Source organism: Homo sapiens, chromosome 1 (assembly GCF_000001405.40).
Source record: "Homo sapiens chromosome 1, GRCh38.p14 Primary Assembly".
Lineage (NCBI taxonomy): Eukaryota > Metazoa > Chordata > Mammalia > Primates > Hominidae > Homo > Homo sapiens.
The window spans coordinates 51239145-51266244 of NC_000001.11; the positions used below are offsets into that span (position 1 = coordinate 51239145).

General features: G+C 41.2%; 1 protein-coding gene and 1 pseudogene across 1 annotated transcript in view, besides 2 other annotated features; one reads left to right on the plus strand and one right to left on the minus strand.

Annotated features, from left to right (window-relative positions):
- Positions 1-27100, plus strand: part of RNF11 (ring finger protein 11) — a 37175-nt gene that overhangs the window by 2872 nt on the left and 7203 nt on the right. The window lies entirely within an intron of this gene.
- On the minus strand, positions 11418-12350 carry RPS2P8 (ribosomal protein S2 pseudogene 8; annotated as a pseudogene).
- Positions 22073-22367: a silencer, noted in NCBI's record as "tiled region #6511; HepG2 Repressive non-DNase unmatched - State 19:H4K20, and K562 Repressive non-DNase unmatched - State 8:EnhW". NCBI's record gives its function as "represses a minimal TATA promoter and a strong SV40 promoter by Sharpr-MPRA in HepG2 and K562 cells {active_cell/tissue: HepG2 | K562}" and the evidence as "EXISTENCE:reporter gene assay evidence [ECO:0000049][PMID:27701403]".
- Positions 26413-26707: a silencer, noted in NCBI's record as "tiled region #5693; HepG2 Repressive non-DNase unmatched - State 23:Low". NCBI's record gives its function as "represses a minimal TATA promoter and a strong SV40 promoter by Sharpr-MPRA in HepG2 cells {active_cell/tissue: HepG2}" and the evidence as "EXISTENCE:reporter gene assay evidence [ECO:0000049][PMID:27701403]".

The window sequence follows — 27100 nt, forward strand, 5'->3', positions numbered from 1 at the left end:
AGCAAATTCTCCTGCCTCCTATCCCCTTTCTTAATTGAATATCTTTGACTTGTTCTCTTTCTCCTATCCTTATGATAATTGTACTATTAAAGGTACTAGAATTTATGGAAACTGTGTTTGCCTTTTCCAGAAGAACTAGGTGATGATGAGGGATGAGGGGTTTTTGGTGTCATGAAGGAACTTTTTTTGGAAATGTTATATTTTTGACAGTGGGAGTTTTTTATGGTTGCAGTTTCCTGAAGTGAATGACGCAGACTAATATACAAATTCAGTATCAATCAGAAGAAAATTACTTTAAAACATGGGAGCATAAAAAGAAACTTTTGGAGAAAAAGTATTGTCCCCCACCCCCAAAGAAATAAGATCTGTCTTAGGAATGGTTATTTTAGATGATCTGAGAAACAGCAATCCAAGGTTATTTATTCATTTATTTGAGTTGAGAATCTCCCTCTGTCATCCAGGTTAGACTGGATTGCTCACTTGGCAGCCTCAAACTCCTGGCTTCAGGTGATCCTCCTCCCTCAGCCTCCCAAAGACTGGGATTACAGGCGTTAGCTACCTCACACAGCAGATTTATAGTATTCTCAGTTGATAAAAGTAACTTTTTCAACAAATTATATGTAATTAACAGTGAATAGCTGATTGTAAAGGAACATGTTCTCTTGAGGTGAGTAGTTAAAAGATGTCATTGTTTGCTGCTTTATATGTACAATGTACATATAATGACAAGAGCCAGTTACAGTTATTTCCTATTAACATCTGACAAATTTGTTTTTATTTATTTTTGCCTTAAAGTAAATCCCTGCACCATTATGATCCAAGTTTGTAGGAAGTGTATATTTCTTTCCATGGTTTCTTTTGTAGCCTCCTAACAGTTATCCCTGCTTTCACCCTTGTCCTCGCTAAGGCCTGTCCTCAATACAACAGCCACAGTTATTTTGGTAAAACTGAGCATGACAGTCTCCCCAACCCTCTGTGTGGATCCTTGTTTCATTCAAAGTAAAAATCAGATTCCTTATAGTGTCGCATAAACCCTACATAATCTGTACCCCTTGTTTCCACGCATGTCCCTTGACACCTACAGCTAACCCCTTTGTTGGCTTCCCTCCAGCTTCCCTGTCCTCATTGCTATTCTAGGACCTTTGTCCTCCTTATTCTGGAATACTCTTCCCCAGATTTCATGGCTGACTGACTCCCTTACCTCCTTCAAGTCTTTTCTCACTGCCCCCTTAAACCTTCTCTGACCACCCTGTTTGAAAGTGCAACCTGCCCTAATAACCTGGAAGTCCCTCTCACCCTGTTGTTTTCCCCCCCAATACCATTTATTACATTCCAACATGTGTTAGAAAGTTGCGTTGTCTATTACCTGTCTTCTCCCACTAGGTAGAAAGGAGGAAAGGGGATTTTTTTTTTTAATTGGTGTTTCCTAAGTACTTATAACAGTGCCTGGCACATGTTAGGCATTCAGTAATTTGGTTGAACGAATGAATAGATTTCTTTTAAATGAACTAATGTATTTGAGGCAGGTATAGTTGCACTGCTTACAAGAACTCTGCATATTCCTAGTGCCATTTTTGCTTCTATATTGTAGATCAGGTTTTTTTTTGTTTGTTTTTTTGTTTTGTGACTGGGCCTCCCTGTGTTACCCAGGCTGGTCTCTCTCTGTATATATATGTTTGGGTTTTTTTGTTTTCTCTTTTTTGAGACCAAGTCTCACCTTGTTGCCCAGCTAGAGTGCAGTGGTGTCATCTTGGCTCTGCCTCTTGGGTTCAAGCGATTCTCCTGCCTCAGCCTCTGGAGTAGTTGGTACTACAGGCATGCGCCACCAAGGCCAACTGATTTTTGTACTTTTGGTAGAGATGGAGTTTTGCCATGTTGACCAGGCTGGTCTCAAACTCCTGACTTCAGGTGATCTGCCCACCTTGGCCTTCCAGAGTGCTGGGATTACAGGCGTAAGCCCCTGAGCCTGCCCTTTATATTTTTTAAATTTAAAAAATAGAGACAGGGTCTCATTATGTTGCTAGTCTCAAACTCCTGGGCTCAAGGGATACTCCTGCCTCAGCCTCTTGAGTAGCTAGGGTTACAGGTGCACTTCTACTCTGCCTGGCTCAGGTTTTAAAAAAAATTTATTTCCTTTAGAGATGAGGTCTTGCTGTGTTGCCCAGGCTGGAGGGCAGTAGCTATTCACAGGTGCAATTATAGTGCATTGCAGCCTCCACTTCCTGGTCTCAAAGGATCTTGTGGCTTCAGCCTCCTGAGTAGCTGGGACTACAGGGTTACACCACCGTGTCTAGCTGTTGTAGATCAGTTTTAAGGAATCCTAAAAAGTCAAATTCCAGTAATATTAAATACAGCAATTGGTTTACACTAAGTGTTAAGTGATTTAGGGGTTTTTACCGTGTATATATATCACCGCAAGATATTTATGTAATGGGAAAGTACTTGGGGGAGAAAAAGAAAGTACTTGAATCCCTATTCTTGAAGTATTGGATGCAAAGAGATTTAGGGTGTTTGTCAAATTAGAAAGTAGAAACAAATTTGTCGCACCCTCTACCCAACTCCCTTATTCCTAAATGTTTAAAAATAATACAGAGGAAATCTGCCCAGCGAAGGCAATCTTGGAAGGACAGTGAGTGGGAGGATAAGCCAGGAAAGGCTGAAGAAGGGAGGTCCATGAGAGGGGGAGGCCAGGTAGGCAGCCCAGCCCTGAAAGGCATATGTAAAACAGCTTGAGGTACCCCTGTGTCACTGTCAAGAGCTTTGTTATGTGCTAAATTGAGGGAGGCACTTTGTTAAAAGAGTGTAATATTCATTGAACAACAAACCATGTTACATTTTCTAATCTGAATATATAAAAATAAGGATAGGTGTCTCTCAATTTTGCAGTAGTTATATAGTTTGAGATTCGCCAGTCTTCTTCCCCGACCTATACTTTTTGATTGATACATTTGAAATTTTAAAATCCTGAGAAAATAAGTTTGTATAGCATTGAATGCAAGTATAGCTCTGCTTTTAGAGTCAGATTGTCCTGTGTTCAAATTCTGGCTCTGCCGCTTACATGTAAAATATGAAAAAGGAAAGAATTTATCAGATTGTTTTGGGGAGCTTTTTTGACAAATAAGAAAATGTAACATTTTGGATATTTCAAATTGTGTCTGCATAAAGCTTTCTTCAAGATACCTTTTTTTTTTTTTTTTTTTGGCTGGGCACAGTGGCTCACACCTGTCATCCCAGCACTTAGGTGGCAGAGGCAGGAGGATCACTTGACCCCAGGAATTCGAGACCAGCCTGGGCAACAAAGTGAGACCCCCATCTCTATTAAAATACCAAACAAAAACAAAAAACAAACAAAACCAAAAACCCTCTTTTGTTGTTAAAAGGATTGGTTTATCCTGTAGAATGCACTAAAAATAACCCCCTTCCTTATAAAAAATCTAGAATGTACTGCTTATTTTTAAGCATGCAATGCTATAATGTTTTGTGGGGGATGGGCTTGTTTTTTTTAGAGATGGAGTCTCACTTTGCCCAGGCTAGTTTCGAACTCCTGGGCTCAAGTGATCCTCCCACCATGTCTCCCAGTGTTGGGATTACGGATGTGAGTCACTGTGCCCTGCCTGTAATGGTATATTAATGCCTCATTTTCCTGATAACTTACGAAGTTAAATTTAGATAATTAAAGGGTTGTGTTTTTTTATTAGCATTTTGTTTAACATTTGGGTGGAAAATATCTCCAAATTTATTTCACGTATCTAGGCCTTATTATACAATTATTCAGCTTTTAACAATTTACCTTTTTGAAGTTTTATCCCTCCCCTTCTTTATGCTCAAGAAGTTCAGCCTTCTTATTGAGGGGCAGATCAACTAACTCCACCTTTGTTAATAAAGCCTTCACTGACCATTTTTTTCCTGTCTCTGCTGATTTGTCATGTACAGTTTTTTTGTGTTTGTAACATTTATCTGGAAATCATATATTGCCTTATTAGCTTTTGTTGCTTTAACAGTTGTTTCTCCACATCAGTTTCCTCAAGAATGAGAATGATACATTAAACTTGTAAGATATCTTAGTGGAGTAGAATGTTACCTTCCATATTGTAGACACCCAGTGAATATTTGATGATAGACTAAATTAGAACTGTGACTTCTTACCTTGTAAGGTCACCATCATAATTGTCCTCATCAGTTCTTACAGCAACATAATTGATGTCTCCTCCTCATTCATTTTATACCATGTTGCCAGATAAATTTCATCCCGGATCAGATCACTTGCCTCATAATCCTTAATGATTGTTATTATTATTATTATTATTTTTTGAAACAGAGTCTTCACTCTGTTGCCCAGGCTGGAGTGCAGTGGTGCCACCTCAGCTCACTGCAGCCTCCGCCTCCCGGGTCCGAGCAATTCTCCTGCCTCAGCCTCCCGAGTAGCTGGGATTACAGGCATGCGCCACCACACCCAGCTAATTTTTGTATTTTTAATAGAAATGGGGTTTCACCATATTGCTCAGGCTGGTGTGCAACTCCTAACCTCAGGTAATCCACTCACCTTGGCCTCCGTAAGAGCTGGGATTACAGGCGTGAGCCACCACGCCCGGCCCTTAATGATTCTTTATTAGGACTAACCACTGAAGATATCTGACTTAGCATTCAAAGTCATGATTTGGCTCTACATATACTTTTTCAGCTCTTCATAGCCTTGTGCTTTCTTTTATACAACCTGTATACTCCAGTCATACTGAGCAGTTTGCTGTATTCCATGTATGTCTTCTGCTTTCCTGTCTTTGCCCATTCTGTATCCATTGCCCAGAATGTTCTTCCTTAATCCTTCCCAGTCTCATTTCTAATATCCAGGGCCCAGTTCAAATGCCAAGAATCCACGAATTCTGATTTCTCCTACATACACTTTTCTTAATCTGAACTCCTTTATTCATGCACCATTCTTAAGACACTTTACCCTTTTAATTTTAATTATTTGTGACAGTGTCACATCTGCTCTTTTAGAATTCAAGTCTGGTTCATTTTCACATTGCTAGAACTACAATTTTCACAAAGCACGCACTTATACTTTAGTGAATGTAATGATCAGCATTTTGCTGTAAGAGTGTGCAATTGTATGGTTGTTAGTGTCTATTAAGCATTCCCAGAATCCTGTGCTTTAGTGTTTGGCCTATCACTTCTAATTTATAAAGTACGTTGAGCTTTGGGAAAGTTAATTTCATTATATATTTTTTGAATTTGTTTTTTTTTTTGTTTGTTTGTTTGAGACGAAGTCTCGCTGTGTCACCCAGGCTGGAGTGCAGTGGCGCGATCTCAGCTCACTGCAAGCTCCGCCTCCCGGGTTCACGCCATTCTCCTGCCTCAGCCTGTCCCGAGTAGCTGGGACTACAGGTGCCCGCCACCACACCTGGCTAATTTTTTGTATTTTTAGTAGGGACGGGGTTTCACCGTGGTCTTGATCTCCTGACCTTGTGATCCTCCTGCCTCGGCCTCCCAAAGTGCTGGGATTACAAGCGTGAGCCACCGCGCCCAGCCTGAATTTGGTTTTGTGTTCCATGAAGTTCAGCTTGCCTAGGTGACTTTTATAAATAAGTAACCAGTTATTTGTTATTTGTGTGACCCCATTGTTGCAGGATTTTTCTTTGTTTCTGCCTGACCTCTCATTCTGAATGTGCTTTAATAAAGGCTGATTTTTTGGCATTAAGATTGTATGCATCACTAAGAGTAAGATAGTCTGTTCAGAGTTTAATTCTAGAGCTAATTATAGGGTAACTTGAGAAGATGGAGATGGGATGGTGAGTTACTTGGTACATAAGATCTGAGCACTTGATTTTCTTAAAATATTTTTTAGGTAATAGTAGAAACCTTTGTTGCAGAATTTTGATCTTTAAAAGTTTTAATAGAAATACTTATGTAGATTGGGATTCTTTTTCTTTCTTTGAGACATAATCTTACTCTGTTGCCTAGGCTGAATGTAGTGGCATGGTCACGGCTCACTGAAGCCTCAACCTCACGGGCCCAAGCCATCCTCCCACCTCAGCCTCCTGAGTAGCTGGGACTATAGGCGTGCACCACTTTGCCTGGCTAATTTTTATTTTTTGTAGAGACGGGTCAAGCAGTCCTCCCATCTCAGTCTCCTGAATAGCTGGGACCACAGGTGCATACCACCACACCCAGCTATTTTTTGTATTTTTAGTAGAGACGGGGTCTCACTATATTGCCCAGGCTGGTCTCAAACTCCTGAACTCAAGCAGTCCACCCACCTCGGCCTCCCAAAGTGCTGAGATTACAAGTGTGAGCCACCATGCCCACCCAACAGCCTTTTTTTTTGGAGATGGAGTCTTACTCCATCGCCCAGGCTGGAGTGCAGTGGTGCAGTCTCAGCCCACTGCAACTTCTGCCACCTGGGTTCAAGCGATTCTCATGCCTCAGCCTCCTGAGTAGCTGGGATTAGAGGCAAGCACCACCACACCTGGCTAATTTTTTGTATTTTTAGTAGAGATGGGGTTTCACCATGTTGGCCAGACTGGTCTTAACTCCTGACCTCGTGATCCACCCACCTAGGCCTACCAAAGTGCTGAGATTACAGGCGTGAGCTACTGGGCTGGACACCAACAGCCTATTTTTAATAACCCATATGAGTACAGGACAGAAATACATCCCTAACTCTGTACCTGAAGTAAGGAAGGTAATACATAAAAGACATATTTGCAAACGACTTGAGGCAAGAAAAGAAATACAACACATCTCTAATTCTGATTGTATCTGCAATCAACCTCTTATCACTTCCCTCTTCATGTGCAGAATTTACCTTGGCTGAGACACAGTCAAGAAAGAAGACAGGTGGCCAGGCACAGTGGCTCACACCTGTAATCTCAGTACTTTGGGAGGCTGAGGTGGGCGGGTCACCTGAGGTTAGGAGTTTGAGACCAGCCTGACCAACATAGAGAAACCCCGTCTCTACTAAAAATGCAAAAATAGCCGGGTGTGGTGGCACATGCCTGTAATCCCAGCTACTTGGGAGGCTGAGGCAGGAGAATCTCTTGAACCCAGGAGGTGGAGGTTGTGTTGAGGCTAGGTTGCGCTGTTGCACTCTAGCCTGGGCAACAAGAGTGAAACTCCATCTCAACAACAACAACAAAAAAGAAGACGACAGGCTGTGTGCAGTGGCTCATACCTGTACACCAGCACTTTGGAAGGCCAAGTGGGAAGGATTGCTTGAGCCCAGGAGTTCGAAACCAGCCTGGGCAAAATAGCGAGATCTCGTCTCTACAAAAAAATAAAAAATTAGTCAGGTGTGTTGGCACATGCCTGTAGTCCCAGCTATAGGCTGAGGCAGAAGGAATGCTTGAGCTCAGGAGTTGGAAGGTATAATGAGCTGTGATGGCACCATTGCACTCCAGCCTGGGCAACAGAGTGAATGGGGGCATGGGGAAGGCCAGGTGTGGTGGCTCACACCTGTAATCTCAGCGCTTTGGTAGGCTGAGGCGGGAGGATTGCTTGCATCCAGGAGTTTGAGACCAGTCTAGGCAACACAGTGAGACTCCCATTTCTACAAGAAAATATTTAGGCTGTAAGTGGAGAGTTATTGTTTAGTGGGTAGAGTTTTCTGTTTTATAAGATGAAAAGTTATGGAGATGGATAGTTTAATGGCTACATAACTTTATGTAATACCACTGAACTATACACTGAAAAATTGGAGCTGGGCTTGTGCCTGTGGTCCCAGTTAATCAGGAAGCTGAGGCAGGAGGGTTACCTGAGCCCAGGAGTTCGAGGCTGCAGTGAGTTATAATTGAGCCACTGCATTCCAGCCTAGGCAGCAGAGTGAGACCTTATCTCTTAAAAAAAAAAAAAAAAAGGAAAAAATAATAGGCTGTAAACAGTTGATTCCTTACCAGTAACTTTTAATATTGAATTAACAAATATTTATGGTATTTTTAACATGCTCAGAGTTCAGGCTTTTTTCAGCTGTGATCTAAATGAAAGTGAGAGTGAGGTGGTGAGAGAAGTCAGTGGAAATGTGAGTGAAAGATTGAGGAAGAGCTGGCTTAGATAGCCACAGTGTGTAGTTATTTTTTTTTTTAGAGACGGGGTTTCACCTTGTTGCCTAGGCTGGAGTGCAGTGGCTATTCACAGGTATGATCATAGCACACTACAGCCGCAAACTCTTGAGCTCAAGCCAACCTCCTGGTTCAGCCTCCCAAGTAGCTGGGACCACAGGCTCATGCCACCACATCCAGTCAAAGTGTCTGGGTTTTTTGGTTTTCAATTAGGTTCCTCAGGTTAAATGGAAGTATGTGGTTTTTTGTTTTTTTGTTTTTTTTTTTTGTAAAGACAGTGTCTCATTATGTTGGCCAGGCTGGTCTTGAACTCCTGGCCCCAAGCCATCCTCCTGCCTCACCCTCCTAAAGTGAAGTGCTGGAATAACAGGCATGAGCTGCTAGGCCTGGCCAAAGTTGAAAAGTAAAGTGATAAGGGAGAAGTAAATGTATTTTATCCTCTTGGAGAATTTGCTTGACCTATTGATTTTTATATTCAAATTGGCCTTTTGAACTCTTAGATGAGTTCCTTATTTTGACAATGAATGCGTGTGTCCCTATCTTTTAATTAAATTGCCAGCCTAGAGTGTACTCCCAGGGGCCAAATGAGTAATTATCTTGTTACTTAATCTAGAAAGCATACTGTAAGGTAACTAAAGGATCTGAAAGTGTGGGAATGAAGAAAGCAACCCTCCAAATATATTTGCTTCTAAAACTCTTAAAATTTTCTGAACACTCATAAAGTTGAATGGCTTTAAGAAGAGTGAGACTTTATAATTGACCCAGTTAGTTAAAGTTACATGTAATTTTGTATAACAGTTTAAACCTTATTTTTGTGGAAGAAAAAGAAGCAGTTTACCATAATTGAGTAGCGAGGCCTTAAGGGTAAGAAATACCATGCTTGATACCTAGTTTCTTCTTTTTTTTTTTTTTTTTTTTTTGAGATGGAGCTTCGCTCTTGTTGCTCAGGTTGGAGTGCAGTGTCACGAGAAAATACATTTACAGTGCTATACTGTATTTTCTTTTTCTTTTTTTTTTTTTTGGCTTTGAGATGGAGTCTTGCTCTGTCACCCTGGCTGGAGTGCAGTGGCACGATCTTGGCTCATTGCAACCTCTGCCTCCTGGGTTGAAGCGATTCTCCTGCCTCAGCCTCCCGGGTAGCTGGGATTATAGGCGGCGCCACCATGCCTGGCTAATTTTGTATTTTTAGTAGAGGCAGGGTTTCTCCATGTCAGGCTGGTGTCGAACTCCCGACCTCAGGTGATCCGCTCGCCTCGGCCTCACAAAGTGCTGGGATTACTGGCGTCAGCCACGGCGCCCGGCCTCTAGTTTCTTCTATCAGTTAGCAAGTATGTTTTAAGCTCAACGGGGAAAGGAGAAATGATGAGTCTCTTACCCCTAGGAGCCTACAGTTAAGGGATAAGACATGAAGCAATTATGAGGTCAGCATGAAATAGTACATAATCAATTATTAAATGGTTTTGTATATAGTTTTGAAGTTGTGTGATCAGTTTGTGATAGGGCAGTGAATCACAAATGTACTTTTTAGCTTCTGTATCCTTTGGATAATCTTACTTGGAACTTGAGTATAAAAAATGAATAAAAACAACAGAGCTGCCCTGATTAAATTGAGTGGTGGAGCTTGGAGTCAAAAAGATAGCCTTCTGTATTCACAGGTTCCACATCCTCTGATCCATCCAATCACAGAAAATATTTGGGAAAGAAAACAATAAAAAATAATACAAGAGCTAATACAAATTAAAAAAATATATAGTGTAACTATTACATAACATTGTATTAGGTATTATAAGTAATCTAGCGATGATTTAAAGTATATGGGAGGGTGTACAGGTTATGTGCAAATATGCCATTTTATATAAGGGACTTGGGCATCTGAGGATTTTGGTGTTCAAGGATTTTGGAGTCAGTCGGGTCGGACTAATTGTTAGATGGTGGACATGAATTTAGAGGTCATTGAGTTGTGTAATTTTGTACAGTAAAAGTATGTGTGTGTAAATTTTAATTAAAATGTATTATACAGAAACTAGTGTATCTTTAACAGAATATCTTGAGTTTCTTTTGATTGACTGATTGATTGGTCGATTGATTGAGATAGGGCTCTCGCTGTGTTACCCAGGATAGCATTGGGCTCAAGTGATCTTCCTGCCTCAGCCTCCCAAAGCTCTGGGATTACAGGTGTGAGCCACTGCACCCAGCAGGTTTCTTAATTACGTAGGCTAGTGCACTTGCAAAATATAGCCACAACTATAATATAGTCTGTTTCCAAGCCCCCAAAAGGCTCCCTCCTGCCCCCTCCAACAGTTAGTACCTTTTTTCCAAAGGTAACTGTTGGTCCTTATGACCTCCTATCACCCATATTTGTTTTGTGTGGTCATGAATTTCAAACTGAATAACATTCTAGCATTCTTTGTGAAATTTGTGTTCTTACGTAATGGCAGTAGTTCACATTCTTTTTCATTGCTATGCAGTATTCAAAATTGTGTAAATATACCACATTTTACTTATTCATTCCATTATGTGTATTTGGGTAGTATCAATTTTTGGCTGTATAAATAAAGATGCTGTGAACATTATACCTGAGCACCTATTTTGAGTATATATCCAGGGATAGAGTTACTGGATAATGGAGCCACATGTATATTTAGTTTTTCCTGCAGCATTTTACTACAGAAATTTTCAAAAATAAACAAGAGTTGACAGAATTGTTTGAATACCCATATTCATTCCTACCACCTAGATTCTGCAGTAAACGTTTTGCTGTATTTGCTTTCACACATACCTATTCGTCGTTCTTCTGTCAATCTATCCTGTTGATGTGTTTCAAAAATAAGTTGCCAAATAGTTTTCCAAGTGGTTGCACTAATTTTCTGCTTGTACTGACAATATGAGAGTTTCATTTGTGCCACGTCTTCACCAGTATCTGGTATTGTCAATCTTTATTTTTGAAACTTTTTTTAGCTTTGAAGTATAATTGATATAATTATATATACTTATGATGTACACCATGGTGTTTTAATATATGTATACATCATGAAATGATTACCACAGACAAGCTAATTTACAGATCCTTCACCTCACAGTTATGATTTGCTATTGTGAGAATATTTAAGATGTATTTTCATAGCAGTTTTCAAGTATACACAATACATTATGCTAAGCTGTAGTCACTATGTTATACAACAGATCTCTGGAATTGTAGATCTGTTTTATTTTAGACATTTTAATAGGTGTGTAGAAGTATAGAAATGCAGTTGACCTTTGAACAACATAGAGTTGAATAGCGTGGGTCCACTTACAGTGCTAATTTGTTTACACAAGTATGTTGGAATTTTTGTTTGAGATTTGTGACAATTTTTTTTTTTTACGCTTAATTCGCTTTATTTTCCTTGTCTAAAAACCCTATGTTGTAGCCACAGCTGGAGCCTGGGTCCGCTGCACGGAGACTCTGGCGTGGGCCTTGATGAGGTGGTCAGTGAATTCCTGATCGGGAGACTTGGTAAATACAGTCTCCTTCCAGAGGTCGGGGGTCAGGTAGCTGTAGGTCTTAGAAATGGCATCAAAGGTGGCCTTGGCGAAGTTGCCCAGGGTGGCAGTGCAGCCCCAGGCTGAGGTGCAGCAGTCATCGATACCAGCCATCATGAGCAGCTTCTTGGGCACAGGTGCGGAGACAATGCCAGTGCCCCTGGGTACAGGGATGAGGTGCACCAGTGCAGAGCCGCAGCGGCCTGTCACCTTGCAAGGGACGGTGTGGGGCTTGCCAATCTTGTTCCCCCAGTAGCCTCTGCGCACGGGGACAATGGAGAGCTTGGCCAGGATGATGGCCCCATGGATGGCGGTGGCCACCTCCTTGGAGCACTTAACACCCAGACCGACGTGGCCATTGTAGTCCCCGATAGCAACAAACGCCTTGAACCTGGTGCGCTGGCCAGCACGGGTCTGCGTCTGCACTGGCATAATCTTCAAAACCTCATCCTTGAGAGAGGCCCCCAGGAAAAAGTCAATGATCTCTGATTCCTTAATGGGCAGGGAGAAGAGATAGATCTCCTCCAGGGACTTGATCTTCATGTCCTTCACCAAGCAGCCCAGCTTGGTGACGGGCATCCACTCCTTATCCTCGGCCTTGCCTCCGCGAGCTCCGCGGCCTCGGCCCCGGCCCCGTCTACGGCTGCGACCCCGGCCCCGGATGCCACTGCCGAAACCTCCGCGGAAGCCACCGCAGTTCCCCATCCCAGGGCCTCCGGGCCCCCCCCCGCTGCACTGGTGTCATCCACCATTTGGTGTTTTCTCGGAGAAGAAAGGATTTGTGACAATTTGAATAAACTTAGGTGATTCTCATTTTTTGAAATATCAAAAAATTAAGGTATGTCATGATGGATGCATAAAATATGTAAATACTAGTCCATTTTATCATTTACTACCGTAAAGCATTCACATCTATTATAAAAAATTAAAATTTGGGCTGGGCATGGTGGCTAATACCTGTCATCCCACACCTTTGGGAGGCCGAGGCAGGAGGATCACTTGAACTCAGGATTTTGAGACAGCCTGGGCAGGAGAGCAAGACCTCATCTTTACAAAAAATCAAAAGAATTAGCTGGAGCCGGGCGAGGTGGCTCACGCCTGTAATCTCAGCACTTTGGGAGGCCAAGGTGGGTGGATCACTTGAGGTCAGGAGTTTGCGACGAGCCTGGCCAACATGGTGAAACCCTGTTTCTACTAAAAATATAAAAATTAGCTGGGTGTGGTAGTGCATGCCTGTAATCTCAGCTACTCAGGAGGCTGAGGCAAGAGAATTGCTTGAATCCGGGAGACAGGTCGCAGTGAGCCAAGATCATGCCACTGCACTCCAGCCAGGGTGACAGAGCAAGACTCCATCTCAAAGCAAAAAAAAAAAAAAAAAAAAAGAAACAGAAAAAGAAAATACAGTATAACACTGTAAATGTATTTTCTCTTCCTTATGATTTTCCTAATATTCTTTTCTCTGGCTTATTTCGTAAGAATGCAATATGTTATACATGTAACATACAAAATATGGGTTAATCAAGTTTGTGTTATCCATAAGGTTTCTTTGGTCAACAGTAGCTTATTAGTAGTTAAGTTTTTGGGAAGTCAAAGTTTAGGCCATGCATGGGGCATATACCCGTAATCCTAGGTATATGTCTTGGGAAGCCAAGACAGAAGCCAAGACAGCAGATCATTTGAGCTCAGGAATTCGAGACCAGCCTGGGCAACACAGCAAAACTCTGTTTCTATAAAAAATACAAAAATTAGCTGGATGTGGTGGCGGGCACCTATAGTCCCAGCTACCTGAGAGGCTGAAGCAGGAAAATTGCTTGAGCCTGGGAGGCGGAGGTTGCAGTATGCCAAGATTGCGTCATTGCACTCCAGCCTGGGTAACGGGAGTGAAACCCTGTCTCAAAAAAAAGAAAAATTATATGAAGGTTTGCGACTGCACTGGGGGTTGAGACCCCTAACCCCCATGTTCAAGGGTCAACTGTATTTCATTGTGGTTTTAATTTGCATTTTCCCAGTGAGTAGTAGAGTTAACCTTTTCAAGTGCTTTTTGGCCTTTCGGGTATTGTCTTTTGTGAAGTCTTTTGTCCAGTTTGTGTGTGTGTGTGTGTGTGTGTGTGTGTGTTTGGGGGGGACAGAGAGTCTTGCTCTGTTGCCCAGGCTGGAGTGCAGTGGCGCGATCTTGGCTCACTGCAACCTCCACCTCCCAGGTTCAAGCGATTCTCCTGCCTCAGCCTCCCAAGTAGCTGGGATTATAGGCGCCCACCACGCGCGGCTAATTTTTTTGTAGTTTTAGTAGAGATGGGGTTTCACCATGTCAGCCAGGCTTGTCTCAAAACTCCTGACCTCGTGATCCGCCCGCCTCTGCCTCCCAACGTGCTGGGTTTACAGATGCGATCCACCACGCCCGACGTTGTCCAGTTTTTAATTGGGTTGTCTGTCTGTTAAAAACTTGATTTGTAGGAGTTTAAAGTATATTTTACTAATAAAAAAGAATGGTAATTGTTCTCTGCATAATATTTAGAAAATAAGGCCGGGCACAGGGGTTCAAGCCTGTGATTTCAGTGCTTTGGGATGCCAAGGTGAGAGGATCCCTTAAGGGAAGGAGGTTGAGACCAGCCTGGGCAGAATACTGACACCCCATCTCTACAAATAATATAAAAAAGTTAGGTGTGGTGGCATGCACCTGTAGTCCCAGCTACTTGGAAGATTGAGGCAGGAGGATCACTTGAGCCCAGGAGCTCGAGGTAACAGTGAGATATGATCACACCACTACACTCCAGCCTGGGCAACCTCAAGATCCTGTCTCTTAAAAAAAAAAAAAAAAAGGAGGTGGGGGAAACGAAATAAAGAATAGAAGGAAAGTAGAGATTGTGTTAGATCCTAGAATGTGAAGATAAGTAAAATGATCTCCATGTTCTCTGTACCCGCGTTCTAGAGAGGGATGTAGGTAAATGGATATAAAATACACTGCCATAAATTTTATGAAGAAGAATGTTTAGGGTGCTATAATTTGCTCAACACTTCATTATTTTTGCTTTCTTGATATTTTAAATAATACTATGAATGTTTAATCGATAAAACACTTCTTGTTTTAGAATATTTTATTTGTATAAATTTTTTTAGGAATTGCTGGATCTTGCCAGGCACAATGACTCATGCCTGTAATCCTAGCACTTTGGGATGTGGAGGCGGGAGGATTGCTTGAGCCTAGAAATTGGAGACTAGCCTGGACAACATAGTGAGGTCCCATCTCTAAAAAAAAAAAAGGGAAGGAATTGCTAAATCAAAGGATGTGAGGATTTTAAAGCTCTACACGATCAATCGGATCATCCTAAATAATTTATCGAAACAGTGGAAAAATATGTTCCACAATAAAGCATACCTCTTTGGTGACCAAAATGTGGCATTGATGAATATTGGGGGGTTCCCCCTAAAACTTTAACCCCCTTTGTGTTGGCACATTCATGAGATAATTCTGTTGATTAGGTTATAGTTTTTTTTTTAAATCAAAGAATAAAACATGGTCTCCTTGATTAGAGTTAGATATTCCTTGCTTCCTTGAATGAATTCCTTTTTCTTTTTCTGTTTTTGAGATGGAGTCTTGCTGTGTTGCCCAGGCCTGTAGTACATTGGCACGATCTCCACTTACTGCAACCTCTGCCTCCCAGGTTCAAGCAGTTGTGCCTCAGCCTCCCGAGTAGCTGGGACTACAGGTGTATGCCACCATGCTTGGCTAATTTTTTTGTATTTTTAATTTTTTTTTGAGATGGAGTCTCGCTCTGTCACCCAGGTTGGAGTGCAGTGGCAGGATCTCGGCTCACTGCAAGCTCCATCCCCTGGGTTCAAACGATTCTCCTGTCTCAGCCGCCTCCCAAGTAGCTAGGATTACAGGCGTGTGCCACCACTCCCTGCTAATTTTTGTATTTTTAGTAGAGAGGGGATTTCACTATGTTGGCCAGGCAGGTCTCGAACTCCCAGACTCAAGTGATCTGCCCACCTCGTCCTCCCAAAATGCTGGGATTACAGGTATAAGCCACTGCACCCGGCCATTTTTTTGTATTTTTGTAAAGGCAGAGTTTCGCCACATTGGCCAGGCTGGTCTGGACTTCAGGTTGCCCTGGCCCCTTAAAGTGCTGGGATTACAGGCATGAGCACCCAGCCTAGTTCCTTTTTCAAATGAATAGCACATAAGTATATGCTGGCTCTTACTAACTTTACTCTGGGAGAAAAAAACATAGCTCCAATTTTCTTTTCATTATAGGCTCTTTCTTGAATAGAATACTTGCATAGAAAAGCAATAGCTTATACATTGGTGAGGGGAGTGTTTACATTGCCCCCAACATACTGTTTAATGCATAACATACATTATTTTATTTAATTATCACATAGTATCTGTAAAGAGGAACTATATTATTTTTAATACTATTAATATGCTATATAATATGTATATATATGTTTCTACTACTTATATATCATGCAATGTGTACATTATAGCTGACATAGAGACTCAGCAGTTTGTACTCTGGATAAGTTTGTTACATTTAATTTTTTATTTTTCTTTTTAGTGACAGGGTCTCACACTGTTGCCCATGCTTGAGTGCAGTGGCACAATCATAGCTCATTGCAGCCTCAAACTCTGGGCTCAAGCGATCCACCTGCCTCAGCCTCCTGAGTAGCTGGGACTAGAGGTGCATGCCACCACACCTGGCTAATTTTTGTCTTTTTGGCAGAGACAAGGTCTCACTCTTTTTCCCAGGCTGGCTTTGAATTCCTGGGCTTAAGCAATTCTACCTTGGCTTCCCAAAGTGTTGGGATTACAGGCGTGGGCGACTGCACCCAGCTGTGTTTCACTTTCTTGCTGGTGTTTTTGGAAGCACAAAAGTGATTAATCCTGATAAAAACCAGTTTGTCTATTTTTTTCTTTGGGGAGCTTTTGGTATGTTCAAGGAGGGGGTCAAACTTGATTCTTCTGCATGTGACTAGCCTGATGTTCCAGCACCATTTGTTGAAAATAGTTTTCTTTTCTCATTGAATTATCTTGGTATTCTTGCCAAAGATCAGTTGTCTATAAATATGAGAGTACATCTCTGGACTCTTCTGTTCCATTGGTCTATATGTCTGTCCTTAGGCTAGTACTGTACTGTAGCTTTATAAGTAAGGTTTGAAATCAGAAAGTGTGAGTCTTTTTTGTTGTTGTTGTTCTCCCTTTTCAGGATTGTTATGGCTATTCTTAGTCCCTTGTATTTCCATGTGAATTTTAGGATCAACTGTCAATTTCTGCAAATGAGCCAGCTAGAATTTTGATAGAGCTACATTTAATTTTTTTTAATGAACCCACATTGAAATATTCAACGATTGCCAAAACATTATCACCCCAAACCCACTGTTTATCTTAGAGTTCATTCTTGGTGTTGTACATGGATTTGCCATGTATAATGACATGCATCCACCATTATAGTATCATACGTGTAGTTTTACTGCTCTAAAAATTTTCCGTGTTCCATCTGTTCATCCCTCCCCCCAACACCTGACAACCACTGATGGTTCTATTGTCTCCATAGTTTTGCCATTTGCAGAATGTTGCATATTTGGAATCATACAGTATGTAGCCTTTTCAGATTGGCTTCTTTCATGTAGTAATATGTATTTAAAGTTCCTCCATGTTTTTCATGGCTTGATAGCTCATTTATTTTTTAGTGCTGAATAACATTCCATTTGCATTGATATACTGTAGTTTATCTATTTACCTATCGAAGGACACCATAGTTACTTCCACATTTCGATAGTCATGAATAAAGCTCCTGTAAACATTTGTTTCTGGGTTTTGGTTGGATGTATTTTTCAACTCCTTTGGGTAAATACCAAAGGGTGCAATTGCTGGATCAAATGGTAATAATATGTTTAGTTGTGTGAGAATTATCAAACTGTCACCCTAAGCATACCATTTTTGTTGTTGTTGTTGTTGTTATTGTTTTTTGAGATGGAGTCTCGCTGTCACCCAGGCTGGAGTACAGTATGGCGTGATCTCAGCTCACCACAACCTCCACCTCCCTGGCTCAAGCGATTCTCGTGCCTTAGCCTCCCGAGTAGCTTGGATTACAGGCACGTGCCACCATGCCCAGCTAATTTTTGCATTTTTAGTAGAGACGGGGTTTCACCATGTTGGCCAGGCTGGTTTCAAACTCCTGACCTCAGGTGATCCTCCCGCCTTGGCTTTCCAAAGTGCTGGGATTACTGGCGTGAGCCACCGTGCCTGGTCGCAAAGCATACCATTTTGCATTCCCACCAGCAGTAAATGAGAGTTTCTGTTACCACACATCCTTGCCAGGACTTAATGTCAGTGTTTTGGATTTTCACCATTCTGATAGGTGTGTGTGGTATTTTTTGTTTTAATTTGCAGTTCTCAGTGCTTCTCAGTACCTCCCACCCACCTTATCTGGGACAGGATGGCTGGAGGGGCTGGAGTTGGGTAGTTCTCTTTCCCCAGGTAGGTTAAGCTCTGGTAAAAGTTTCTCCCAGAACTTTATATTAAATTAAAAGTTTCGCATGAGGATAAGACTTATTAGGAGCAGAATGCTCTGGCATATTTAAAATGGTTTATTTTCCTCTCCGCCTCCTGGAAGCACTCACGTGAGGACCTGGTAGAGGTTTTGGAGGTAAAATTCACAAAAGTGTGGTGGCCCCAATTGGGTCCACTTGGAGTTTTTATTTTAATTTTCTTTATTTTTTATTTACATTTTTTGTTTGTTTTTTTGTTTTGGAGATAGTCTTGCTCTGCGGACCAGAATGGAATACAATGGCACAATCTCAGCTCACTGCAACCTCTGCCCCCTCCGATTCAAGCTATTCTTGTGCCTCAGCCTCTCTCGAGCAGCTGGGATTACAGATGTACACCACCATGCCCGACTAATTTTTGTATTTTTTGTAGAGATGGGGTTTCGCCACATTGCCCAGGCTGGTCTCAAGATCCTAGCCTCAAGTGATCCGCCTGCCTCAGCCTCCCAAAGTGCTGGGATTACAGGCGTGAGCTACTGTGCCCAGCCTTGACTTTTTAATAATAGCCATTCTGACTGATGAGATGGTATCTCATTGTGGTTTTTGATTTGCATTTCTCTTCTTATTTCTTTTCTTTTCTTTTCTTTTTTTTTTTTTTTTTTGAGACAAAGTCTGTTGCTGATGCTCAGGCTGGAGTACAGTGGTGCAATCTTGGCTCACTGAAACCTCCGCCTCCCAGGGTCAAGCAGTTCTCCTGCCTCAGCCTCCCGAGTAGCTGGGATTATAGGCACCCACCACCATGCCCAACTAATTTTTGCATTTGTAGTAGAGATGGAGTTTCACCATGTTGCCCAGGCTGGCCTCGAACTCCTGACCTCAGGTGATCCGCCTGCCTTGGCCTCCTAAAGTGCTGGGATTACGGGTGTGAGCCACTGCACCCAGCCAATTTGCATTTCTCTAGTGATCAGTGATAATCGGAATGGCACGCAATTTACAACATTAGTTGTTTATTTCTGGAATTTTCCATATAGTATTTTCAGACCATGGTTGACCACAGTTAACTGAAACCTTGCAATAAGTGGGGACTGCTGGAGATCCTCTTCATTTTAAAGATGCAGAAATAGGTTGGGCAGTAGAGCAGGGCAACTAGGAGAAATGCATTTAAACAATAGGGATAACTGCACAGTGAGGCAGAAAATGTTATATAATACACTAGATTTGGCTCAAAGGCAGTCACAGGAGCCTCTAGGAGTTCATTTCCAGTAGAGTCCAGGAGAGGAATGAGATACTGGAATTAAGTAGGTTATACAGTGATACTTGAAGTAATGAGACTTCTTTAAAATGAAATGGGTCTTCTAAAAATGTTTCATAAATCCTAAAGGTAGGCACAACATATGGCACATAAATTATCAGAAATACCCATATGTATAACATCTCTTTTTTCATTTGGAAGTAAACAGCCCTGCCTCAGCAAATTTCTCGAGTTAATAAAATGTTTTTAGTGTCCCCGTGTCTTCTTTTCTATTCTCAGTTGGTGATTTCCTTTCTTTTGCCAATCTCCCTGATAGGCAATCTGTGCTCTCTGTCTAACGTTTCTCTCTTGAATTTATAGTGTAGTTATTACTAAGGCACCAATTCCTATCAATTAAGGCTCATTTCAGTGTAATGTGGATGTGTTTTATTTAGTATTATGTCCACTGGGCCTTTGTATATTTAGCGTTTGCACCACTCCCCACCCCATTTTCATGTGACAACTGGAGGCCTTGTTCAAAAAACTACCAGAAAAAGGACATGTATCCCATCCTTTATGGCTTTCTTGTAACACCAGAAACTATCCAGCCTTGTTTTGTCCTGTTTACTGTAAGATCCTAAGCCAGTGGTTCTCAACCAGGATGAATTTGCTCTCCAGGAAACGTTTAGCAAAGTCTAGAGACATTTTTTGGTTGTCACAATGTGGCAGGGAAGAGGGTGCCACTGGCATCTAGTGGATGGAGAGAACTGCCAAACACCCTGTGATGTACAGGACAGCCCCTACAACAAAGAATTGTCTTACTAAAATGTCAGTATTGCCCAGGTTGAGAAGCCCTTCACTAAGCAAGCCCCTTTTCCTCTCTAACCTCAGTTAGGTCCTTAATTAAGTTTGTTTCTTCAACTGAAAAGTGGAGGTTATTGCAACTTTTTCAAATGGTTGCAAAGATAAATGAATTTAAGGCGTGGAAATATTTAGCACAGTATCTGACACACAGTGGCACTCTGCTGAAAGAATAAATTAGGGTTTTTAAAAAATGTTGTATAATGCAGCTTCTCATCCATCCTGATTTTCCTGCAAAAATTCTCATGTTAAATGTTTTGATCCATTATCACTGTAAATCTCTTACATGTTATAGAAATTCCTGTATTTAAGCTTCTAAAATTTCCTAGACTACCTCTTAAATATGTTTTGATTTTTGGTCATGAAAGCAATGATTATACCACCACTGGAACAAATCTTTTTAAGTAACAGAAACCTTTTCCTGTTCTTTTCTAAAGCACTTCAGTGAATTAAAGATTGGTGAGGAGTGTAGGTCAAAGTTTAAGTCAATCAGTAATTGAATATTTTCTGTTGTCAAAGAGTTAATAAGTTCATGATCAAATAGCGTATGTAGGAGAAGACGTTAGAAAGATTTCAGAAACACTAAACTTATCGCATTCTCTTTGTGCTTTTAATTTTATGTAGCAATTCAAGGCCATCAATAGTTGTAGTCTTAAAAGCCCCTAAAAGCAGAAATGATATTACTTTGTGGATTGTTTAGATTTTTATGATGTACCCCTGTTTGCAAGGTGGTGTTAGGTCCTATGAATTAGGAGTTTGTAAGTTTAGTTAATTGGCTGAGGCCCATTGTTGATCTGTTAATTTTTTTGTGAATTAGTTTTTAACATACGGATCCTGCACAAGATAAATTTATACCTTTAAACATTTCAGTTTTTTGGTATCGTAAATGGTGTTCAAACTTTTTATTTTGGCTTCCAGTTCATTGCTGGTATTTACAAATACAATTAATTTATGTGTGTTCTTTTAACCTGCAACCTTGCTGAATTCATTTTAGGAGGTTTTGGTTAGAGTCCTTGGGATTTTCTAAATAGGCTCATGTCTGTTTGTCTCTCTTTAATTAAAATTTTTTAGGGTGTGTTTTTGTAAAGCGTTAATATTCAGTTTTGGGTGTTTTCATTCTCAGACTGATTCTCAACCTGGCCCTCTTTCAAACTTTCACACCTTCTCCCTTTTCAACTTCACTCCCTTCCCCAGAAATCACTGAAATGACTTCTGAGCACATTGTCATTTTATCTTACTGATTCAAAATTATTATTAGATACGTTATTATACCCTGGAGGTAACAGAATAGTGCATCCAGAGTCTTTAATTATGTAGGACAATTGTGTTAGTGGGTGAAAGCTGTTAGGCTTTTGGATTCTTGCACCTACTTTTTATTGATTTTTTTTTCCTCATTGTCAGTTCTTCATCTGCTGTTAGTGTGTCTGCCCTTAAACTACCTCTTCCTACTTCTAATAATTTGGCATGTTGGAAAACCAGATACTCAAGCTCATCACAGTATTTTCTAGCAACTCCCAATAGAGAGATCCCAGAGGCAGTGGCAGTTAAGTTGCATTTTCACTTGTGAATAAACTATTCTGGGGTTTAGATACATAGGTACTTTATATTTTTTTAAGTTAAAAATTTTTTAAAGTTTGGAACAAATTTGCTTAATAAAGTCAGTTTTAGCGGGAAATTCACATGCACATGAGAATCGAAAGAAAGAACCTTTAATGTTGATGTAAGCTTATCATTCCTTTTTCACATATACCTCACCACCTCCTCTGTGTTTAATTATCTGGACTTTTTTCTCATCCCTAGATTTTGTTTCTCAAAAATGTTTCTCCCTTAAAACATGTTTTAATGAACTCTGTAAGATCTAAGTTCTTAATCTCAAAGTAATCTTTAGATTGAGGAGTACTAAAATTGAGATCCACAGACCCTTTAAGGTCAGGGATAGAACTGCTTTCAGTGTGATTGATTTCCTTAGTAATCTTATGTGTTTTATTCAAAAACGTTATCTGAAATAGCTTTCATTGGACTGCATAAGGTTTCCATGGCAAAAAAAAAAAGTGTTAAGAATCCGTGAGAGGCAATCCCAGAGTGAGCTCCTGTCATTGCTGCCAGAAACCACAAAGCCTTTTGAGAGTTCTGAACTCTGAGTCACAGAGTTCTGATAGGTATGTGGTATTGTAATTCAGTTGAATTTTGCTGTTGGAATATTTAGGTAAATTGTCAGACGTAATTAAGATTTGCAGCATGAAATGGGCCCAAATATATATGGAGTCTTGCTCTGTTGCCCAGGATGGAGTGCAGTGGCACGATCTCAGCTCACTGCAACCTCCACCTCCCAGGTTCAAGTGATTCTCCTGCCTCAGCCTCCCACCACGCCCTGTCTGTGATAAGATTTTTTTTTTTTTTTCTTGAGACGGAGTCTTGCTCTGTTGCCCAGGCTGGAGTGCAGTGGCACGATCTCAGCTTACTGCAAGCTCGTCCTCCCGGGTTCACACCATTCTCCTGCCTCAGCCTCCGGAGTAGCTGGGACTACAGGCACCTGCCACCACGCTCAGCCTGTGATAAGATTTTTAAATAAAAATTTCACGGCTCGTTGCTATGGCTCATGCCTGTAATCCCAGCAGTCTCGGCTCACTGCAACCTCCGTCTCTCCGGTTCAAGCGATTCTCCTGCCTCAGACTCCCGAGCAGCTGGGATTACAGGCACATACCACCACCCCCAGCTAATTTTTTCTGTTTTAGTAGAGATGGAGTTTCACTATGTTGGCCAGGCTGGTCTCGAACTCCTGGTCTCAGGTGATCCACCCGCCTTGGCCTCCCTAGTAGCCTGAGGCTACAGGCATGTACCACCACTCCTGGCTAATTTTTGTAGGGATGGGGTTTCGCCATGTTGCCCAGGCTGGGATTGCGGGTGTGAGCCACTGCACTTGGCCCCAAAACAATTTTTAACGGATGATGCTGGGACACCTACATATAACCACATAGTTAAGTGAAGTTGGGCCCCTTTCTTACTATATGCAAAAATTAACTCAGAATGGTTCATACACCTAAATGTAAGAGCTAAAACTTTATAAACCTCTTAGAAGATATAGGAGCAAATGCTCATGACCTTGGGTTTGACAAACTTCTTAGGATACTGAAAGTAAAAGTAACCAAAGTTGAATTTCATTAAAATTTAAAATTTGTTCTTCAAATAACGTAAAGAAAGTGAAAAGATAACCCATAGGATGCAAGAAAATATTTGGGCTTTTTTTTGTTTGTTTGTTTGTTTGAGACAGAGTCTCCCTCTGTCATCTAGACTGGAGTGCAGCAGCACAATCTTGGCTTATTGCAATGCCACCTCCCAGGTTCAAGCAGTTCTTGTGCGTCAGCCTCCCAAGTAGTTGGGATTACAGGTGTGCACTACCACCGCCTGCTAATCTTTTTTTTTTTTTTTTTTTTTTTTGTATTTTTAGTAGAGACAAGGTTTGACCATGTTGGCCAGGCTGGTCTTGAACTCCTGACCTCAGGTGATCTGCCTGCCTCAGCCTCTCGAAGAAAATACTTGTAAATCATTGGTCTGCTAAGGGACTTGTGTCCAGGAGATAACAAAAAGATAATTTGCTATCAGAGAGGGCAAATCAAAATCACAATGAGATATCACATCTTATCCACTTGAATGGTTATAATAAAAAGATTAAGTTTAAGCAATGCTGTAGAGAAACTGGAACATTCTATTTCCCTTTTTAAAATGCACACTTCATTGATTTCCAGTGTGTTCAGAGTTACACAACCATCACTTACCAATACAGCTCTCGATGGGATTGTAAGATGGTGCAGGTGCTTTGGAAAAGTTTGGCAGTTCTACAAAAGGTTTTGCAGAGTTCCATTCATTGGTTTATATACCCAATAAAATGAAAACATGTACAAAAACTTATACATGTATTTTCATAACACTGTTATTCACAGTAGCTAACAAGTAGAAACAACCCATGTCCATCAGTGACTAAACAAAATGGTGGTGGACTATTCAGTGATAAAAAGGAATGCAATTCTGATAAATGCTGCATCATGGGTGAACTTTGAAAACATGCTAAGTGAAAGTCGAGCCACAAAAGACCACATATTAGTATGATTCCATACACAGGCATACCTTGTTTTATTGCACTTCACAGGGTTGTGTGTGTGTGTGTGTTTACACAACTTGAAGGTTTGTGGCAGCTCTGCATGAAACAATTCTTTTGGCACCATTTTCCCAGCAGCTCATTTCATTTCTCTGCTACATTTGGTAATTCTCGTGCTTTCAGACTCTTTCATTATATCTTTTACAGTGATCTGTGATCAGTTTTATTAGGGTGGTCTGGAACGAAACCCACACATCTGAATAATGCTTATCTATGAAATGCCCAGAATAGGCAAATCTATAGAGACAAAAAGCAAATTAGTTAGTAGTAGCCTAGGGCCGGGGAGTTTGGGGGAGTGACTGTTAATGAGTACACTTTCTTTTGGGGGTAATGAAAATGTTCTAAAATTGATAAGTGATGGTTGCATAGCTCTGAACACACTGGAAACCATTGAAGTGTGTATTTTAAATAGGGAAATAGAATGTGAATTATATCTCTAAGGTGTTACAGTTAATGGAAGCCTTTCACCTTATCGTGATACTGTATTTCCTCAGTGCTGAGATGTGCTTTTTAAGGCTAGGCTTGGCTGCTCACTCCTGGGATCCCAGCACTTTGGAAGGCCAAGGCAGGAGGATTGCTTGAGCCCAGGAATTCTAGACCAGCCTGGGCAACATAGTGAAAACCTGTCTCTACAAAATGTATATTTTTAATTAGCGGGGCATAGTAGCATGGGCCTGTAGTCCCAGCTACTCAGGAGACTGAAGTGGGAGGATCACTTGAGCCCGGGGGGTCGTCAAGGCTGCAGTGAGCCAAGATTGTGCCACTGCACTCTAGCCTAGGTAACAGAATGAGACCCTATCTCAAAAAAAAAAAAAAAAAAAAAAAAAAAAATATATATATATATATATATATATATATATACACACACACACACACACACACATTTATCAGGAAGATAGATGTGATGCTAGCTTTTACATCTCTCTGTGTAATTGTTCAGGAACTGCATCAGTGCTAATCTGGGGGTTTTTGTTTTGGTCAAGATTTCATGGAACATCAGAAGTAGAACATACATTGAGACCAACTATTCTAAATCCTCCATTTTATGGTCTTAAATGTCAGTCTGGCAAAATTCAGAGAAAACATTTCCCAGTAGGAGACTGCAGCTGGGAAGAAGGTGGTGCCAGCAGCAGCTTGTAAGGATATAAAGAGAAGGATCAGAAGAGCTGGCTCTTATTTCCTACTGGAGGAAAAGATACCGCTTTTGGTGACAAGCTGCATGCTTTAGCAGTGACTTTATTTTTCCTTCACCACAAACCAGACTTGTGCTATTTCCAGCCTCAGCACATTATTTAGGCACTTCCCCACTGCATTGTTTTCGTTTCTGAAATTGTATCACATTCCCTAAATTGAATCCAACTTTTAATGTAGTGCCCTTCAGACAGACACGTTTTACATTCACCTGTTTTGTGTCTTTCTTGGCTTAAACCACCTAAGATTAGGGCCCGATACATTCTTGACAACATCCATCATTTTATAGGTGCTTCATTTATATATTAACAAACAACCGGAATGCTTCAGAGATTTTTCGCATCAGATCAGACCTTGCTGTTTTTGATGTTTGACCCTATCTTCTGGCCGGGTGCAGTGGCTCACACCTGTATCACACCTGTAATCCCAACACTTTGGGAGGCCAAGGCAGGTGGATCACTTGAGGCCAGGATTCGAGACCAGCCTGGCCAACATGGTGAAACCCTGTCTCTACTAAAAATAAAAAAATTAGCTGGGCGTGGTGGCGCGTGCCTGTACTCCCAGCTACTCGAGGTTGAGGTGGGAGAATTGCTTGAACCTGGGAGGTGGAGGTTGTAGTGAGCCAAGATCGCGCCACTGCATTCCAGCCTGGGTGACAGAGTGAGACCCTGTCTCCAAAAAAAAAAAAAAAAAGACTGTATCTTCTGTCCTGCTTCAGCATATTTTATAACCCTGTCTTCCATTTCTATTCTACCCCCTTCCATGCTGCTGCATTTTTCCACAATGCATATTTTAATTTTAAATTATTCCTTTTCTCCTTTTCTTAAAGGCAGATGATTTCCTTTGGATTCTCGCTCTTTCTCTCTTTTGCATGCAGACATATGGAGAACTAAAGAAAGTATTAAGGAAAAGATTGTTTAAATTTATTTGAAATTTGCTTCTCTGTGAATTCCATCTTGAAATTTAAACTCACAGGGCAAGCCCATGTGTCTCCTAATCAACAACGAGGAAATGGTAGTTAGGTAAGACTGTATAAGACATTTAAGTAGATGATAGTGGAAAAGGGAAGAGAGGAAGTCAGAGGAATCAGGAAGGATGAGATGTCTATCTCCAGTGACTAGTGGTGTCATTAGAGAAGAGCCCATATATTAAGTAAGCCCTTATCTTGGTAAGTGCTTTACTTATCTGCTTATTCCTTACAATACTTTTTTTTTTTTTTTTTTAACAGAGTCTAGCTCTGTGGGCCAGGCTGGAGTGCAGTGGCGTGATCTCAGCTCACTGCAACCTCCGCCTCCCAGGTTCAAGCAATTCTCATGTCGCAGCCTCCAGAGTAGCTGGGATAACAGAGCTAAATGACTGCATCTGGCCTCCAACCCTTTATTAAGATAGGTATTTTGTCTGTTATGCTGATGAGGAACCTTAATGCTCAGAGATATTAAGAAGCTTGCGTAAGGCCACATACATAATTAAATACCAGAGCAGAAATTCCAGGGAATGCCTGTACTCTTTCCATTATGTATTTTTGTTCATTAACCTAGGTAGGGGGCATAGAAATTCTGAGTTTGAGAGGCATGTGGAAGGAAGTATATTTGGTTT